Source organism: Homo sapiens, chromosome 18, assembly GCF_000001405.40.
Source record: "Homo sapiens chromosome 18, GRCh38.p14 Primary Assembly".
Taxonomy (NCBI): domain Eukaryota; kingdom Metazoa; phylum Chordata; class Mammalia; order Primates; family Hominidae; genus Homo; species Homo sapiens.
The window spans coordinates 71,808,789-71,827,791 of NC_000018.10; the positions used below are offsets into that span (position 1 = coordinate 71,808,789).

At 35.9% G+C, this 19,003-nt stretch overlaps 1 long non-coding RNA gene across 2 annotated transcripts in view; it reads left to right on the plus strand.

Moving 5' to 3' along the window:
• Window positions 1-1,731: 1,731 nt before the first annotated feature.
• Window positions 1,732-19,003, plus strand: part of LOC102725148 (uncharacterized) — a 28,812-nt gene continuing 11,540 nt past the window's right edge. For both annotated transcript variants that reach the window (XR_935615.3, XR_935616.3), the window contains exon 1: window positions 1,732-2,027. This is a non-coding gene — a long non-coding RNA (uncharacterized LOC102725148). The remainder of the gene's footprint in view (window positions 2,028-19,003) is intronic.

The window sequence follows — 19,003 nt, forward strand, 5'->3', positions numbered from 1 at the left end:
AAGCAGACAGTTTTCTTGCTTCCTTGCCACAGGAATTTTTATGGCCTGCCCTATGTGAGAAAGGGTAGCTCAGATGGATCCCTTGGTATCTACTGCTTTTTAACTACACATTCCTCAGAAATATTTATATCATGGAGGCATATTCTCTGGTGAAGTACTCCAGTTTTCTTCAAAATTCCAGATACCATTGTTTACCCTGTGGTCCAAATGCTGAGAAATACATCAATTATTACACATAAATGTAACAAGGAAAGTAATAGAGTAACTATGCCTTAATTTTTAACCCAACACACCACATTAATTTGGCTCTTTTTCACAGAATTCCAGATTTTCCTTTACATAAAAAAGTTACTATCGTCTTCCAGAGTTTATTTGGTGGAAAATATGGTTAGGCCTATTGATACATGATCCACATTTGCATGTCTTTCTAATGTACCTATGAACTCTTTAATAAATGGACAATGACATTTCTCCTCTCCAAAATCGCTTGCTAATAAGCAAAATTGGATGGTAACTTGCTAACTGTACACCACTGTGTAGAATACCAATGGCAGAAAGACATAGGAATACATTCTGTCTTACTGAAAATTTATGGTGAAAATAAAATATTAGAGGATGTACTAACAATATTACTTCAATACCTTTAAAAAAGCAAACTGGGTGATGTCAGTCAATGTGGCAGAGTAAGAAACTCTGAAAATCATCCCTTCAAAGATAAAACAGAAAATGACAAAGATTGTCAGAATCAACTTTTCAGAACTCTGGAAACTAATTAAAGCTATGCAGTTATGTATTGACTAACCTAGAAGCACTTATTCAAGAAAAGAGCTGGATCTTATTAAGGACAGTGAACTTTGTCACATTTTAATTTGTCTTAGCCCAATCTTTCCATCCCCAGTTCAGCTGCAGTTTTGAAAAATAACATCCCACATTTCTGGTACCTAGAGTGCAAAATGGAGCTGCTGCTCTTTCAAAGATTCATTTCTTTAAAAATTGTTACTATTTAATCTGTTTGGTAGTTTGCTAGACGACCCCCACCTGAATGCTTGCCTTTACTTGACCTGACTCAGAGACCTGCTGGTGCTAAAATTCTCTTCCTAGGGAGTATTTGCCAAAAACATGTACAGACACGTTTAATGTGGTTGCAGCCTGAAGCAATGAATAAATGTTGGAGCAAACAATTGCTTAATCAAAGAGTTTCAGAGGAAGGGTTTCCAATGAAGTACACATAAAGACCCTTAAAATATTAAATAGAGATACTTTTCTCCATGGGAGGCACCCTCAAGAAGAATCTGAGAAGGCGCTAAACATTCTCATCCAGCTGGTTTTGAAATGAAGCCTGAAGCAGAGCCGTAACCTGCCTGCCTCAGTGTCAAAGGTATGTCCCTAGACACACAGAGAGCCCCTCAGCAAACACTGAAAGACTTATTGATTCCAAGGATTTAATGAAAACTTTGTTCAATTATTATCTGACCAGGAAGTTAACTGAGCAGAGACTTTAGTGGACACACATGACAATGAATATAGATTATATAGAATTAGTTATAAATAGCCACTAAACAAACAAGCAGCACCTACTGTGACAAGCAGAAACAACAATAAAGAAGCAGAGGCTACAGGACAGTTATCTGGGTGACCTTAGACAGGCCAAGTTCTCCTTTCTTGCTTGTAGTTAAAGTATAACCACAGAATGTGCTGAGAATATAACATCTTGAGATAGGGAAGAACTGCCTGAAACAGCTCAGGGCTTGTTCCTCTCTTTGCTGAGGAATGTGACATCTTGAGTTAAGAACTGCTTTGTTCTTCTCTCCTCTAGAAGCCAAATGTCCTCCACAGCTTTGCCCAGTGGGACACATGGCTCCTGACATACGTAACCCAGGATGGGATGCCTTGTTGGAGTCTCTCAGATATGGAGCAAAATGGGCCATGTGCAGTCAAGACGCCATCTACCCTGGGCAGCTTGCCTAAGCCTCGAGGGACCTGCCAATGATGGATCTGAGACCTCTTCTGTCCCTGGCTGCCTATCTGTAAGTATCAAACTTGCTTTGCATAACATGCTTCATTTTATGTGTGTGTTCTGTCTCACAGGACTCAGACAAATAGGTAAGCAGTGCAAGGAGGACCTAAACAGTAGTCAAGAATACAGTTGGCATAAGTGCATGGATTCTTGTTCCTGCTGGTTGGCATAATAATGACCTTTGCTATTCTCCAAACAGTAAGAATCGTCTCTTGAGATTGGTAATTAGTAAACCTGCTTTGCATGAGCATGGGAATTTGCAGCATTGTCATATAATGTTATTTAATGTGAAGTTTTCAACAAAAATTAAGAAATGCAAAGAAACAAAAATTATATGGCCTATAGCCAAGGGGAAAAATCAATAGAAATTGTCCAAGAGCAAACCTTAACATTAGACTTAAAAGACAAAAATTTTAAACTAGCAGTTTAAATATGTTCAAAGAGCTCAAGAAAACCATGTATAAAGAACTAATGGAACGCATAGAACAATGCCTCAAATACCAGTATCAATAAAGTAAGCTCAGAAAATTTTTAGGGCTATGTAAATACTCCTAATAATACTAGAATGGTAATACCTTTGCCCAGACCCATAAAATGTACAGTACCAAGTGTAAACCCCAATGTAAACTATGGATTTTGGTGCTAATAATGTGTTGATGTATGTTTATCTTTTTTTTTTTTTTTTTTTTTTTTTGAGACAGAATCTTGCTCTGTCACCCAGGCTGGAGTGTTACGGTACGATCTTGGCTCACTGCAACCTCTGCCTCCCAGGTTCAAGTAATTCTCCCTGCCTCAGCCTCCTGAGTAGCTGAGATTACAGGTGCCTACCACCACAACCGGCTAATTTTTGTATTTTTAGTAGAGACGGGGTTTCAGTATGTTGGCCAGGCTGGTCTCAAACTCCTGACCTCAGATGATCAGCCCACCTTGGCCTCCCAAAGTGCTGGGATTACAGGTGTGAGCCACCGTGCCTGGCCAAGTTCATCAATTTTAACACACTGGTGGATAATGCTGATGATGGGGTAGGCTGCGCATATATAAAATGGTAGAGAGTATATAGGAAATTTCTGCACCTTCCTCTAAGTTTTGCTATGAATCTAAAACTACCCTTAAAAGGCATTTTTAAAAAGTGATGGAAATTATTAAAGGATACCAAGTAAACATTCTAAAAATCTAGATTCTTTAGAATCCATAAAACATCTTTAGAGCTAATAAACCACTTTAGTAAGTTTGAAAGATGCAGTATCAGTAATCAGAAATTGGTTGTATTTCTGTGCAATAGCAATAAACAATCCAGTCATAGAAGCAAGAAAGCATTTCCTTCTACAATATCATAAAAATAATCAAATACCTAGTAGTATATTTAATTAGAGAAGTTCAAGACTTATACATTAGTAACAAAAAAAAGGAAAAAGGAATCAAAATGCTGAAATAAATTACAGACCTAAATGAATGAAAAGACATCCTGTGGTCATGGATTGGAAGACTTAATATTGTTGATGGCAGTATTTTATAAAACGTAACTGCAAACCTGCAGAAATCATAACAGAGTGAAACTGGCATGGGGATAGACATATAGATTAATTAAATAAAGTTGACTGTCCAGAAACAGACACACAACTTCCATAGTCAATAGATTTTTATAGCTGTGTCAAAACCAAACAATAAGACAGAAATAATTTTTAACATATTGTGGTGGGACAACTGGATAGGCACATCCAATAGAATACATTTAGAACCCCATAATAGACTATATAGTAAATATTGACTCAAAATGGACTAAAGAGCTAAACATAAGTGCTATAAGCTATATGGACTCTTAGAAGAAAATCTTTGTAAAAATCCTTGTGATCTTTGATTAGCCACATTATTAGACCTGTCAGCAAAAGTTCAAGCAACCAAGGCAGGGAAAATGTAAAATGAATGTCATCACAGCTGAAATTTTTGTGTGTCAAAAATAAACAACAACAACAAAAACAATGGGGTAAAATATTTAAAAATAGTACGTAAGTGTCTGCTATCTATAAAGTAGAAAGAACACTTACAACTCAGCAATAATTTAAATGTGTCTACCTCTCTAGCAAGATTAGGAAAATCTTCCTAAATTATTCCTTCAAATGTTTTCCAGGTTGTTTACTTTTTCTCCTTTTTTCTCAAGAATGCCAATAATTCAAAGATTTGGTTACTTTACTTAATCCCATATTTTTCAGAGACTTTGTTCATTTAAAAAAAAAATTCTCTTCCCTTTTTTTGTCTGACAGGCTTAGTCTGAAAGACCAATCTTTAAGCTCTGAATTCTTTCCTCTGTCAGATCTAGTCTATTGAGAAAGCTTTTGATTGTATTTTAAAAATTCTTAAGTGTGTTTTTTAGTCCCAGTAGCTCTGCTTGATTTCTTTTTAAGATGTTTACCTCTTCCTTTATTTCTCTGATTGCTTTAGAACTTTCTTTGTGTTGATTTTCAACCTTGTCTTGGATCTTGTTGAGTTTCCCTGAAATCCATGCTTTGCATTCTCCATCTGTTATCTCTCTGCCTCCATTTTGGCTAAGAACCATGGCTTCACTGCTAGAGTGAAACTTTGGTAGTGTCACAACATTCAGATTCTTATGATGGCAGAATTCTTTGCTGGTTTCTTCTCATCTGGAGAGGGCTGTGTCGGATAGGGTCTTTTGGCTTTCCTTCTGTAGTCCTGTGGACTTCTGTCAGCAGGTTTTGTATTGAGCTGGGTGGTCTAACCTAAAGTCCATTAAATTGTATTTGTAGGTAAATGCCAGCTGCCGCACAATCAGGTGTGTATGGACCCAATCTTTGTTTACTGTGAGGTGGTCTCTTGTTTCCGGTGAAGGATTGGACAATGGGGTGGCTGGTGCTCTGAGCTTCCTATTCCTTGAGGCCACTTTCACAGGGGACACAGCTGGACCATGCTGGAGCCCTCGGCTTGCCCATAGATATTTCAGTGCTGAGCACAGGTACTAGCCCTGATGAGGGTGGCTGAGAGAGGCTCCTGGTGAAGTGCACTGAGGTCTCTGCAGCAGGATTGGGAAGCTGCACTTGTTTCCTATCCTACATAGGCAGGAACACAACCTGTTTCCCCATCCACCCCTGTTTCAAGCTCATGACTCCTACTTCACATGCACACTGTAGCCTATCTCCAGTCCACAATGTGGTTCAGAGCCACAGGGAACACTTATTCTGTGAGAGTCTGTGGGACTGGTTTAAAGGCGTAACCTCATCACTCAACCTGATACACAAGTGTAGACCTCCAATTATAAAAATCCTAAAAGAAAACCTAGGAAGTAATATTTTAGACATAAGTCTTGTCAAAGAATTTATGACTATGTCCCCAAAAGCAATTACAACAAAACCAAATATTGACAAGTGGGACCTCATTAAACTAAAGAGCTTCTGCACAACATAAGAAGCTACAAACAAAGTGGATAGCCTACAGAATGGGGGAAAATATTCACAAATGCATCAGACAAAGGTCTAATATCTAGAATCTATATGTAAGTTAAAAAATTCAACAAGCAAAAAACAAATAACCAAATTAAACAATGTGCAAAAGGCATGAACAGAAACTTCTCAGAAGAAGACCTACATGTGGCCAACAAATATATGAAAAAATGTTCAGCCTCACTAATCATTAGACCGATGCAAATAAAAACCACCCAGAGGGAGCATGTGACACCAATCAGACTGGATATGATTAAAAAGTCAAAAAAAAAAAAGAAAAAACAGACAATGGCAAGGTTATGAAGAAAAGGGAACACTTATACACTGTTGGTGGGAATATAAATTAGCCACTGTGGAAAGCATTTTGGAAATTTCTCAAATAACTTAAAACAGAACTATCATTCAACTTAGCAACCCAAATACTGGGTATATACCCAAAGGAGTATAGATCTTTATACCAAAAAGACAAAGGCACTCACATGTTTGTTGCAGCACCATTCACAGTAGTAAAAACATAGAATCAACCAAAGTCCTGGTAGCCTTCAATGATGGACTGGATGAAAAAAATATGGTACAAATACATCATAAAATACCTTGCAGTTATCGCATAGAATGAAATCATGTCCTTTGCAGAAACATGGATGGATATAGCAGGGAGCCATTATCATAAGTGAACTAGTTCAGAAACAGAAAACCAAATACCTCATGTTCTCACTTTTAAGTGTGAGCGAAACATTGAGTATACAAGGACATAAAGGTGGAAACAACAGGCACAATACAAGAGGGTGGACAGTGAGAGGTGTGAAGTGAAACACTGCCTATCAAGTACTAAGCTCACTATCTGTGTGACAAGATCATTTGTGTACCAACCCTCGGTGACACACAATTTACCCGTGTAACAAACCTGCACATGTACTTTCTGAACCTAAAATAAAATTTGAATAAAAAATTAAAAATAAATAAGTAATTAAAATATAGCAACTTATTTCAATAGAAATTTCAACAAAGAAGCTATACAATTGGCTAAGAAGCATATGAAAAGATATTCCACATCATTGCATTAGAAAATACAAATAAAAACCAGAAGAGATATCACTTAATATTCCATGCTGTGGCTATAATCAAAAAGTCAGACAAAAACAAGTGTTGGCAATTCCTTGGAAAATTGGAACCGTTATAAATTGCCAGTGGTAATTTAAAATGATGCAAATGCTGTGCAAAACAGTTTTACAGTTTATTATATGACTCAGCAATTTTACTCCTATCAATACACTCAAGATAATTAAAAACAAACATCCACACAAAATTTGAGCACGAATGCTCATGGAAGCATTATTTATAAGAAGCATAAAAATTAAAAACAACCAAAATGTCTACCAACTAACAAATGGATACATAATATCTGATATATAATGAAGTATTTCACTTATACAATGGACTGTTACTTAGCCATAAAAATATAAAAGGTCCAATATATGCTTCAACATGGTCCAATATATGCTTGAGAACATTATGCTAGGGGAAACAGCCAGACATAAAAGGCTGTATAATGTATGATTCCATTTATATTAAATGTCCAGAATAGGCAAGTTGGTAGAGAGAATAAGTAGTTTAGATACACGGGCAATCAAGTAAATAAATGATTTCCCCATAAATTGTGCTTTTAGGAAAAAGCTTTTTGTGAGAAGTCATTGTCTCTCTTGCCTATGCACCATGATCTGCAATATCATTATGATTTTCATACAGGTCAGTAGGACTTTTATTGTGGTAAAGAGTCTGTTTTGTCAGTATTGGGATTTTTATTTTTATGTTAGTGCTGATTAGTTGTGCCTAAATTTTCAAAGGAGGAAGTTATAGTGAGACATCTCTGACTCCTCACGTCCCATTATGGCCACAACTAGTTCGTCTGGTTTCTTTGGGATTCCCTTTGGGCAAGAGCAGGGTTCAGTAGTCAATTCAGTCTTTGGGGGTCTTTAGGATTTTATTTTTTAGTTTATATGTCTCCTTTTTTGTCAAAGTATGCTAGTAGTGGTACTGATGGCTAAGTTTTTATTTTTGTCTCATGCCGATGCCAGAGTGGTGTGTGGCCTGACCTGGTTCTATCATGGCCCTAGGTGGGTCCCCTATGGCCAAGGAACTTACAGCCAGAAGACTCATACTCAATTACATGTTCTAGGACAGATGGGAATGGAGGAGGGCAAGTATGCATTAACCTTTAAAACCCATTTTAAACAACATTAGAGCCAAAAATTAAAAGCCAAAAGGCAAGGATACAAAATTGACTTATTTATAAATTTTATGAATTGAGCTACTGTAATCTTGGCTTGTAGCAATTAGTTTTACAAAATAGAAGCATTTTGTTCAGCTGTTCAGGCATCTGTGTGCCTGCCCTTGATTTGGAGGACATGAACTAATTATATCCTTCAAAACTGCCCCTTACAATCTCATGTGATGGTTCCTGGGCCTGAAGAAATTGAATAGTTTCAAATTCTGTAGGTAAAACAAAATATAAAGAATTTGCAAAGTTTTCAATAAAGATGTCATAAGCCCTGCCTAGTTTTGAGAATAACAGAAAAGGAAGCTTATACGTGGCTAAATATTTACATTATTTAGTATTAAGGCATAGAATAAATTATGTTAATTTAGATAGAGGCAAAAGTATTAAATGAATCTTAATGTTTTTGAATACAGACCTGTCCCTGCATTGCATGAAAGCAGTTTACTTTGATTATTGCCTTTGCCTGTGTCTAACGACAAGACTTTCGTTAGCCTGAGTTTGAGTCAGATACCAGCAGGAGTCAGCGCCCTCCTTAGATGAGATACATGTACCCAGAAGTCAAAGCCCTATAATTTATAACACAAGTATTAGTTAATAGCACATTATAAGGACCTTTTCAAGGGGCTTGAGGGCGTGATACTGGAGTACATGGCCTGACTAGAAACTGTAAAAAGATTCTGTAAGAGCATGGTGATGAATTTTTATAACTTTGATAAACCCCAGCAATAGATCAGAGACTTAATTTAGGATTTAATTTTGAGCACGTTTGTCAAAGATGTTAAAAGGCTTACAACATTTGATCAAAACAGAACCATGGGTCATTGTAAAATAGTAGCTACTCATTTAACTGAAGTGATAATTAAAAATCCTTAAAGGCAACACAGAAAATTATATCTATGTAAAAACCTTAAGCCTCTTAAATCTCAGTTTTTTAAAGCAATTAAAACTCTAATAAAGACAGTATAGGACCTATCCTGATAAAGTATAAATTTTGTTTCATAACAAGTTACCAAGGAAACAAAAAAATAAAAAAAAATCGTTTTGCAGTGTGACTGCCTCTCCTTATGGAAAATCCATTTAGATAACCAGGAAGTCAAACGTGATTTAAAAAGTGGTTGAATTTAATTGGACACAGGAAGAGTACGTTTAAGGTTATGAGTGAACCTTATATTATAGACGAAACAAGAGAAAGGAAAATGGGTACCTTGAGCAGTGGAACACAGGACTCTTGGTAACAGCATGACAAGTTTTCTGATTACTTTGAAAATTTAGACCTATTAAGAAAAGCCAAGAGCATAGAATTAAGTTATACATTTTTGACCTATAAGATAAAAATATTTCAGCATCAGGTCAAAATAATGGTCAGAACCAGAGGCAAAAATTTAGAGAAGCTAGCTAAAAAGCTGAAGGCGAGAGTTTTATCTCAGGCCCTTTTAAAGGGAGACAAAGTTGAAAACAGCAAGGCACGATAAAAGTTGAATTTCTAACATATGAGTCTGATAACTTTTTAAAAGAAATAGTTTATAGAATTAAAATCAAAACCTCTTATGATTGTATTAAGAGTAAATCAATACCTTAAGAAAACATTATTTGAACATAGGGGACTAAACTTTAGAAGACTATTTTAAATAATTCCCTTTTCATTATAACTAACTTAATCACGTTCAAAACTCCTTTTATAAACTCCTCTTCATGAAAGTTATTCCAGCTTATACAGATTATTTATGACACAATTGGACTTTCTAACTTGTCCTATACTTCCCTTATTCCTAAATAATTATTTTTCTTGAGGACAAAATTCACCACATAATACACTTTCCTATATAAAATTATACTTTTTTCTTTATAACCCTCCTTACCAAAAATACATAATCATATTCATAACTTTATTCACATCTCTCTCCCCTACTTACTGATTTCTTTTACCTTTTTCATAAATAACTTATAAATAACCCTCAAGTTACATAAAAATATTTTTTCTCAATAAGAACATAATTTATAGAATTATACATTAACTAGAATGTTTATTTTTAGTAACTTTAAATTTTAGTGAAAACTTAGGAAGCAAGAATTCCTAAACTGTTTATTAGATTTCAATATTTTGTAGATGCAACAATCTGAGAAGTTTTAGAAATATATTCCCACATTATAACTTTTTTAAAGTTGTAAATAACCCAGACACCCAATGAGCATCCAAAAGAATTTTAGTTTTAAATTACAAAGAAGTCCATTTACAAGCATTTATTTCATTTACGTGTATTCAATTTAAAAAAAAATTTAAGCTTAGATTTAGATTACTTTTGAAAAATGAGATATTACACAAATCTAGTCATTAAAGTTATTTTTAGTCATTAAATTATTTTTCTGTTAACCATTTTTAAAGTCTGTGAGCATTAAATGTTCACCTGAGAAACTTAAAACATATGAGCATTTTGTCTCTTTTCATTGAACTAGTAATTTGAAATTAGACTTATTTATCATAAAAACGCTGAAGATTATTGGTTTTGGCTGGGTTTATAGAGTCAACCTGAAAACATTTAGCACAGGCAAATATAAAACTTATTTATCCAGACAAAATGTATGCTGACAATTCTGGAGATATTTTTATTTTTATCTCATCAGGGATTTTAAAGCCAGTTTATTTATTGAAGATTATTAAGTTCATGTGACCTTGAATATCATTTGGACTTATTTAAGAGTTCTCATCTATTTATAAGCCAACTTGGTAGGATGCTGGACACAATAAAGAAGATAATACATGTACAGACACATAAATGTATCTATACATGTATGCACACATACAAACAAAGATCCAACAGTTTTTTCCTCAAAACTCTACCCATGAGACAGCATCACAAACTCACTGAACAATAAAAGATAGCTGGATCCAAGTTATTTCTGACAAAATGGTGACCTGTCTAAATGGCTAAACATTGCTTAATAGGTGATCCAATGAGGGCCATAAAGCAAAATTTTGGGTACAGCATTTTAACTGGCAGTTTTCATTTTAAAACTTCTTTTACTTCTGTTTACTTTTTAAAGTTTAAATAAGATTTTAATGTTTTTATTTTAGCATGAACTGACTGAGCTGTATAAAAAAACCAAAATCTCCAAGTAACCTTGAAACAATGAATTTTATCTCAACACTGGTAGCTTAATAACAGCAGATTCAAATCAGGCAGGAAATAAAAATCAGAAATACTGAGCTTTAGAAGACTGTACCTAACTCTATTGTTGTAGACGAAGCATTTGAGCTCTGGATTTGTCTTTCTGTTATTCGATCATCAGTTTAAATTGTGCACAAAAATGAGCCATATTATATAACTAGCTGGAATTTCAGATAGTTTAGAAAAGAGTTCACATGCTTTCTCCCCTAGAACACTTGCCATAGATACAAGGAATACTCTGGAGTCCCAAAGAGGATGACAACATGAGGGCCAGGAGTTTGGAAACTGTTTCTCCCCTAACTAGGAGAGAGACAGCCTCTCTTGCTGCCTTCTGACAATCAGATGGACCTGGTCTTGGCCAGTGAGATGGAGACTATGCCAAAGCACCCTTGGAGGGTGGGGGTAACACTAAACAGACACATAAATACAGATGAATCTGATGCAGATGAAGCACTCCAAACTGATTCTGAAAGAGGGGAGACTGAAGCAAAGTCCTGAGATCTTAACCTCAAACTCAGAGAGCACCACAGAGTGACCTGCATTAAGTCCACATGGCACCACAGATGACATATACTAGGTCTAGATGGCTAGAGAGCCCAGATGGCAGAGACAAGATTTCTGGGTGCACTTTAGTTGATTTACCTAGTTCTGAGAGCCTGCCAACTTCTCAGATGTTTCTTTTTTTACACTGACAGAATATTGGAGTGGGTGATGCCATGAAGGGGAGAGAAGGGACGATCTCTGAGCCAAAAGCACTCTCAACAGCTGCTGGGAATTCCCTGAGTTCCCAGCAAGGGGGTCACCAGGCCACCAGCAACTGGCATTTGCAAGTGGCTGCCATCCCACCTGGTAGCATGAATGGGTAAGCCCTGGTACATGGCTGCAGCCAATGGTTCCATTCATTGGAAACCATGTGTATAGGCTAAGCTGCTTGAACCAGACGGTTCCTCAAATGGGGCACCAAATTTCTACCTAGCTCAAGTCCGGCCACTTACTGCTCAGAAGCTGACCATATGAGAAGCAACGTGTCGTGAAAGGAAAGCAGTTTTATTAATCAAATGCTAGTAGTCAAGGATTGGCCAGGCTCACGTCTTTAAAAGATCATTCCAGCTTTTGGGGCTTAATGAAGGGGTTTAAGAAAGAAAACTTGGGGTGCGAAACATGGGTGGTGCAGGAGGGTGCAGGTCTGTGTGTCTTGTTCTGATGGCTATCTTAGGTAATCGCCCATCCAGAGGTCTGGTTGGTGTCATCTCATTTTTGTCCTTGTAGTGGTGGACTAACTCTTCATAACTCCACCTAAGCAGGAGGATAATGCAGCTAGGTCTCTATGCCTGGTTTGTTTCAAGATTAGCCCCCAGAACTTTTAAGAAGCACATAATTCGATACAAGCATATAGTTAGGTAAATGTGTATGTTGTAAGGGAGTGTATGGTGAGAAAAGGAAGATTGTAATTTTCAAAGAAAATATATTTCAAAGCTGTATTCCAACACTACAGAGAAAAAAAAGAAGGGGGTTTCTGTAGTAACATTCAAGTTTATATCTTGAGACTAGGGAGAAAAGAGGAAAAGAAAAAAAATAATTAAAGTATAGTTCTAGGTTGAACTGTTCGTTGACGTTGACATTGACAGTAGAATTTTTATAGGTAGCATTATTAGCAAAAATTCTTCCTCCTAGTTGCTAAGAGTTTTTATCCTAGATTGATTTTGCTAATTTTCAAATATTTAATACATCTTGCACATAATTGACAGGATCATGAATATTTCTTTTCTTTTACTGGACTGTTATGATAAACAATTATCCATTTCACCTTTTAATGTGAAACCTTTCTTCCATTCCAAGTATGTATTATCCTTTTTATATATTCCTGAATTGTGTGTGTTGATATGTTGTTACAGGTCTTTGCATGTATGTTCATGAATAAAGTCAATCTACATGTTTGTATGTATTTGCTTTAATAATGTTTTGGTCTGGTTTTGGCGTCAGAGTAGTGGTGCCCTCATAATATGAATTGAGAATTATTTCCTTCTATTCTATTTTGTGGAATATTTTGTGTAGAATTCATACCTTTTCTTCTATAAATGTTTGCTAAAGTTCATATTTCAGCCAGGGGATTATATTTGTTGGACGATTTATTCATTTTGTTTGTTGTTGTTGTTGTTGATTTTCCTACAAATGGACTCATGTGCATATAAACATTTATCCAAACAATGAAGGCATCCCTCTGCACATCCTTCTCTCTTTTTCTCTCTGCAGCTCCCTTCTGCCTGGCATTCTATCCTACAAATGCTAGCCAATTTGACATGTTCCAACTTCAACTTTTGTCTCCTTGATTCAAGGTTATTGTAAGACTCTGTTTGGGTGTCTGCTCTCGGTCTGATTTTTGGTCACTGCCTCCAAATGATAATCTAGGGAAATCATGTTATTTATATTACTTGGTTTGTCTTCTATTGGGAATCACAGTCTTGCATAGCCTGTGGTACAATGTCCAAAACGAGTCATTTTATATTTTTGTCAAGTTTCCATTTGTTTAAGCCAATATGATTTGTTTGTTCCCTCAACAAAGCAAAATAACATGTTTTTTATAAATGAATCTCTTCACTGATTTTCTATTATTTTCATATTATCAATCAAATTTTTTTGATTAGTTCAGCCTTATGACTGTGCTTTTGAGAATCAAAGAAAACAGCTTCCAAGCACACTTGGAAAATAAGTGTATCTAGGAGTGGAACTAAAATATCTTGGAGGATTTTTTGTACTACAGAAATAGTATGCAGAAAACAATGAAAAACTCTTCTAAATTAAAAGCGACAGGTGACAATTAAGATAAATTTTCAAAATACTCCCTGGCATTTTCAGAAATTCTCAGGATCAGAAATGATTCAATAAGGAACAAAGATTTCTTGTAGTCAGGCAGACATAGTTGGTACTATAGTATTTGGATATTAGAAGAAAGAGCTGTTAGTGAGAGAAAAATTGGAAATTTCACAATTTTTTGAAACCTTAGTCTTAAATGTTAAGACTAAGTTTACCTTACCCTTCAATTTGACATTTGCAGTTCATCACTTTTATATAAATATAATTTTCAAATATATCATTTTAAATTTTGTTATCAGATTACTTTTTATTCTTTGACCAAAAAGTATGAGTCATGGGAATTTGACTTGTAGTTTAATCAAATTATAACTTATTTGCTTAAGTATACTCTGAATAAGTTTAACCTAGAATTGGACTTACATGAAATTATTACTTCTTTATATGTGAGTTCATTCAATGAGAGAATTGTTAATTTTCCTGAAAAGGTAGCATTTCCAAAAACATCCACAAATATTAGATCAATGTCAAGCTCTAATTGCAGGTTTCAACATGTCCAGCATACTTAATCACTAGGCAATTAAGTTTAATCTGTCAATTCTGTTTTTGTAAGTGCATATTATTTTATTGGATTAAATATTGGTTTGAAAAAGGAACTCCAGAAATTTAAAACTAACCTAACCTGATATTATGTAAGTCTTTACACAGTAATATAAGAAAAATCTTTTGTATTATTCTGCATATGCATTGATTGTCAATACAGATGTAGAGCCTCTTTTTCTCAAAGAACATGATTCCATGAATATGAGATTATTTTAATCATGAGGACACTAACTCCAGTCTACAGGTGTCAGTACATATCTATATCTAGACATCTATACCAATATCTATATCTAATCTATAGGTATCTATTTATATCTAAGATTTCAATGACAAGATACTACTAATTCCTGGGTAGTTTTTGGTAAGTTTAGCTTTCTTGAGCAAGTCTAGCATTATGCAGCTGTTGTGTGATGCTTCATCTGAACAAAATAGAGCACACTCTTTTGTGAAATGCCAGGGTTTGAATCATGATGTACTCTCCAACATTTATTTTGAAATTAATTCCCAATACAACAGTATTAAGAGGCATGGCCTTGGGAGGTGATTGAGTCATGAGGGCTCCACCCTCATGAATAGAATTAGCACCTTCATAAAAGGGCTTGAGGTTGAAGGGAGCTCTCTCTTGCCCTTCAGATCCTTGGACCATTTGAAGACACAGCACTCCTCCTCTACAGAGAATGCCGAAACAAAAAGCCAGCTTGAAAACAGAGAGGAGACCTCGCCAGACACCACTCCAGACATAAACACTCAACATATTAGGAGATAAGGCTTGAGTTACATATCATTTCTTCCCAAAGAGGTTTTGTTAACTCCAAGAGTAGGTATCGTATTCCATTAATTTCTTTCATAGGCCTTTTTAAAAATTATCGTTAACAAGGCCGAGGCAGGCGGATCACGAGGTCAGGAGATCAAGACCATCTTGGCTAACACGGTGAAACCCCATCTCTACTAAAAATACAAAAAATTAGCCGGGCGTGGTGGCGGGCGCCTGTAGTCTCAGCTACTCGGGAGGCTGAGGCAGGAGAATGGCGTGAACCCGGGAGGCGGAGCTTGCAGTGAGCCGAGATTGCGCCACTGCACTCCAGCCTGGGCGACAGAGAGAGACTCCGTCTCAAAAAAAAAAAAAAAAAAAAAAAAAAAAAAAAAATCGTTAACAGCAAATTACATCTCCATTAATTTTTGTGTCTCTGATTTTTGCTACTCTCCTCTATTAGGAAGTAAGCTCAATGAAAGCCTATGATTTTTTTTTTCTCTGCACAGATCTGAACAATGAAAACAAAATTGAGTTAGTATATACTGAATCTCAGAGGGTGCAGCGGATTAAAGCATCAGTTTACACTCATCCCAGTACTGGAAAGCAGAATAGAATTTTAAAATGACATGACCACGGTGACGATGATGGAGGGTTGAAGAACAGCCACCAGATGTTGATGCATCCCTGTGCTGTGGCAACTCCTTAGCCAAAGGAGAGATTTTAGTTTGACATTGTTATTGATAAAATAGACGATTTAAAAAATTCTTCAACGCCATAAGGAGAGTAAAGGATACTACTCAACCCTGAGATATTTAAACTTTAAGCAAGCAAAGAAATGAGAAGAGCAAAGGTAAAGAAAACAAAGAAGGTAAAGGGGAAAAGGAAAGTGAGAAAAAGACGTCGATACAACTGAACTAAATGCAAAAAAAGAAACTCAATGGCAAAAACAGAGATCTGTTCATTGTGTAGTAGATGAAATAAGACATCTTTCAAGAATGATTCACATTATGGTCTCTGAACATAGGTCGCCTCAAAAAATATACTACATAGGAGTTTAAAGGTCCCACAATTTTATGCATGAAGCAGGTCTAAAATCTCCAGCATTTTATTTATGAATGTCTTTACTTTGTTAACTCATCAAATCTCTTGTTAATATGGAATATCTCCTTTTGTAAAAAATAAATTTTATTTTGGTTAAGAGAGGATTATTTGTTCTTCCAGCTGTCATACCCAAACAGCCAATTGCTCACTGAAATATCCCTGCGAAAGCTCCTCAGTCCCTGTGCTACTGTGGGTAATTGGCAATAACGTCTAAAAATCCACTGGAAAAATATTTTGACTGTTCATCAAGTATTCCAATGAACTGAGATTATGTTATGTCATTGTGAATTCAATTATTAATTGATCAATCACTACACTCTAAAATAACTGATGGTTTAGGATTTTTCTGTGCCTCCAAGGAAATGAAATGCAAATCCATGTCAGTCATCTGTTAACAAAGGCTCCTTTAAGGAAGCCACTGGAATACGAATGGGAAGCCCTGCAGCAGTTTTGGTCAACTCTAACTTACTGTCTTTTATTTTATTTTTCCTTACTAACCTTTTATTTAAGGTGCCTATTTGATTTTCCTCTGACTTTTCTACCTTAAAAAGGAAATTTGCTTCAGAGGTAATATATCAAAGCACTTAACACTGATACAAATTAGGGTTCTGTCTATTTCTTTTTTTATACACGTTTCTAGTAGATACAGGTTTTGAGAAGCCTGAGGATAGAAAAAGCACTAAATTCTCAGCTATTTGAGACTTCAGTGGGAGAAGAGTTTATCCCCTCAAGATCTTTTCTTTTTTAAATCACAGAGAGGCATAGTCTTTCCCTGAAAATCTCAAACAAAAAGATTTTTCTTCCCTCCCAGTAACCCTGTTACTGAAATTTTATTTTATGTCAATATTTTGGCAACCCAACCCAACGTTTAAAATGCATTAATTTTTTATATAATCTATACCATGTGGAATGACACTTCCTTACACTAACATTAGAGCCTGTGTTAGCACACTTGTTCTGGAACACGCATTGTCCCTTCTTTTCATCATTGCTAAGATGAGAAGGAGGACAGCAAGAAGAACATTCCCATTCATGCATTAAAATACTGACTTCCTCTTCACCTTGTCAAGCAAGGGGCCAGATTTTGAGATTAAAAAAACAATGGAAAGCATCAAACCTGGGCAATTGATGAGCTAGCAGTCTACTGGGGAAGACTCACTAAAGCTTATTTGCACAAATTATTAAGTGCTGTGGTGCACACAATGGGAATTAGACTGTGATATTTATGTATCTTCTACTAACAAGCTTTCCCATTTCCTGAGAAAGGGCCTTGTCCACTTCTTGATTATTGTACACCATCACCGCACTCCAAGTATGACTTAATGTAGTTAATGTAGTGATTTACGTAAAGGAAGGTATTATTTCCCAAACTTTTGTTAGGACTGGAATCACCTGAGGCAAATATAAAATATGAACTCCCTCAGTTGAGAGTTGTCTGGTATAGTGATTAAAATCTTTGATCTGGTGTCAGAGTGCTTGGGTTCAATTCTCAGCCCTATTGCTTACTAGCTGAGTGAACTTGAGTAGATTATTTAATTTCTCTGTAACTCAGTTCTCTCATCTTTGAGTGGAAAAAATGCCTTCATAGTATTGCTAGCAAGATTAAATGAGTTTTATATGAAGAATTCTTAAAGTTATGTTAGACCCACGGCAAACATTCTCCACTGCTGCTAGGTTTTACTAGGGATGCCCTGAATCATAATGAACAAATATCATATCATCAGAGAACCATTCTAAGGTGCCGACACTCTTTATTTTTTTACTGTAAATTGTTTTTCTTCGTAGATAGTTCACCTGACATGTTATTTATTTCTTTAATTTTTTACATCTTTCTTACCCTCAATATAAGGATTTTTAGAAAATGATGAATTTTGTCTCACTGTAATATTTCTTGAACTTAGAACATTGCCTAAGTGAACACACATGAAAGATGTGTGATTTATTTTATTTGACTAAATTAAAAATAAATTGTTGAATAAAGAATACATTTCATACTAGCTTAAATATTAGGTTGGTGCAAAAGTAATTGCGGTTTTTGCCACTGAAAGAAATGCCAACAATTGAACTAACTTTTGCACCAACCTACAAGCAAATATTTAAAAAAGAAAAATTATTCCTTAAAAGGTAATAAGGCATGACCCACACTGCCTTGCATTCCCCACTGCTTGACTATAACTTACAGGATCTTCTTCCTGCCGCCAGGCTCCTGGCCTCCCTAACACCAACACTTCTAGAATCCAGATGGCCTAACCACAATTGTCCCTCTCCTCAATTTTCTTAGAATATTTACTTTAGAAAACTTTTATTTTCTGTACCTCTTTGAAATGGTAGTTTTTAAAAAGCCTCTTTCAGGTTTTAAAACCCAACTTTATTTTTTAAGGACCTGGGAGCCATCCCTTTGAAATGCAATCATCAAGGAAGATAGCGCCTCCCTGGTCTTGTCTCCATGGGAGGGGAGGAGCCTAACTTCCTGGGGCCCTTGCTCCAAGGTCTAAAACTACCTCCCACCCTGAAGATGACTGCTCCTTTGTGGTAGTCCAACTGGTAAGCACAGATGGGCTAAGTTCCCCACACCCAGCTCTTAAAAATCCTCTAGCTCTTTGTTTTTGTACAACTGATAGGCATGGCCCCTCTTTGCTATTGCAATAGCCTTGAATAAAGCCATCCAGCCAATGCTTTGACAACGGAAACGTTTATGACTCAAGTTGTGTGGAGAATTCAGAAAGGACTCTTTGAGAGACAGTTCACATCAAAGTTTTGTGGTGTTTGAGAGATGGATTACTAGTAATTAGTCAGTAGCTTTATTTTTAATTTTTTTCA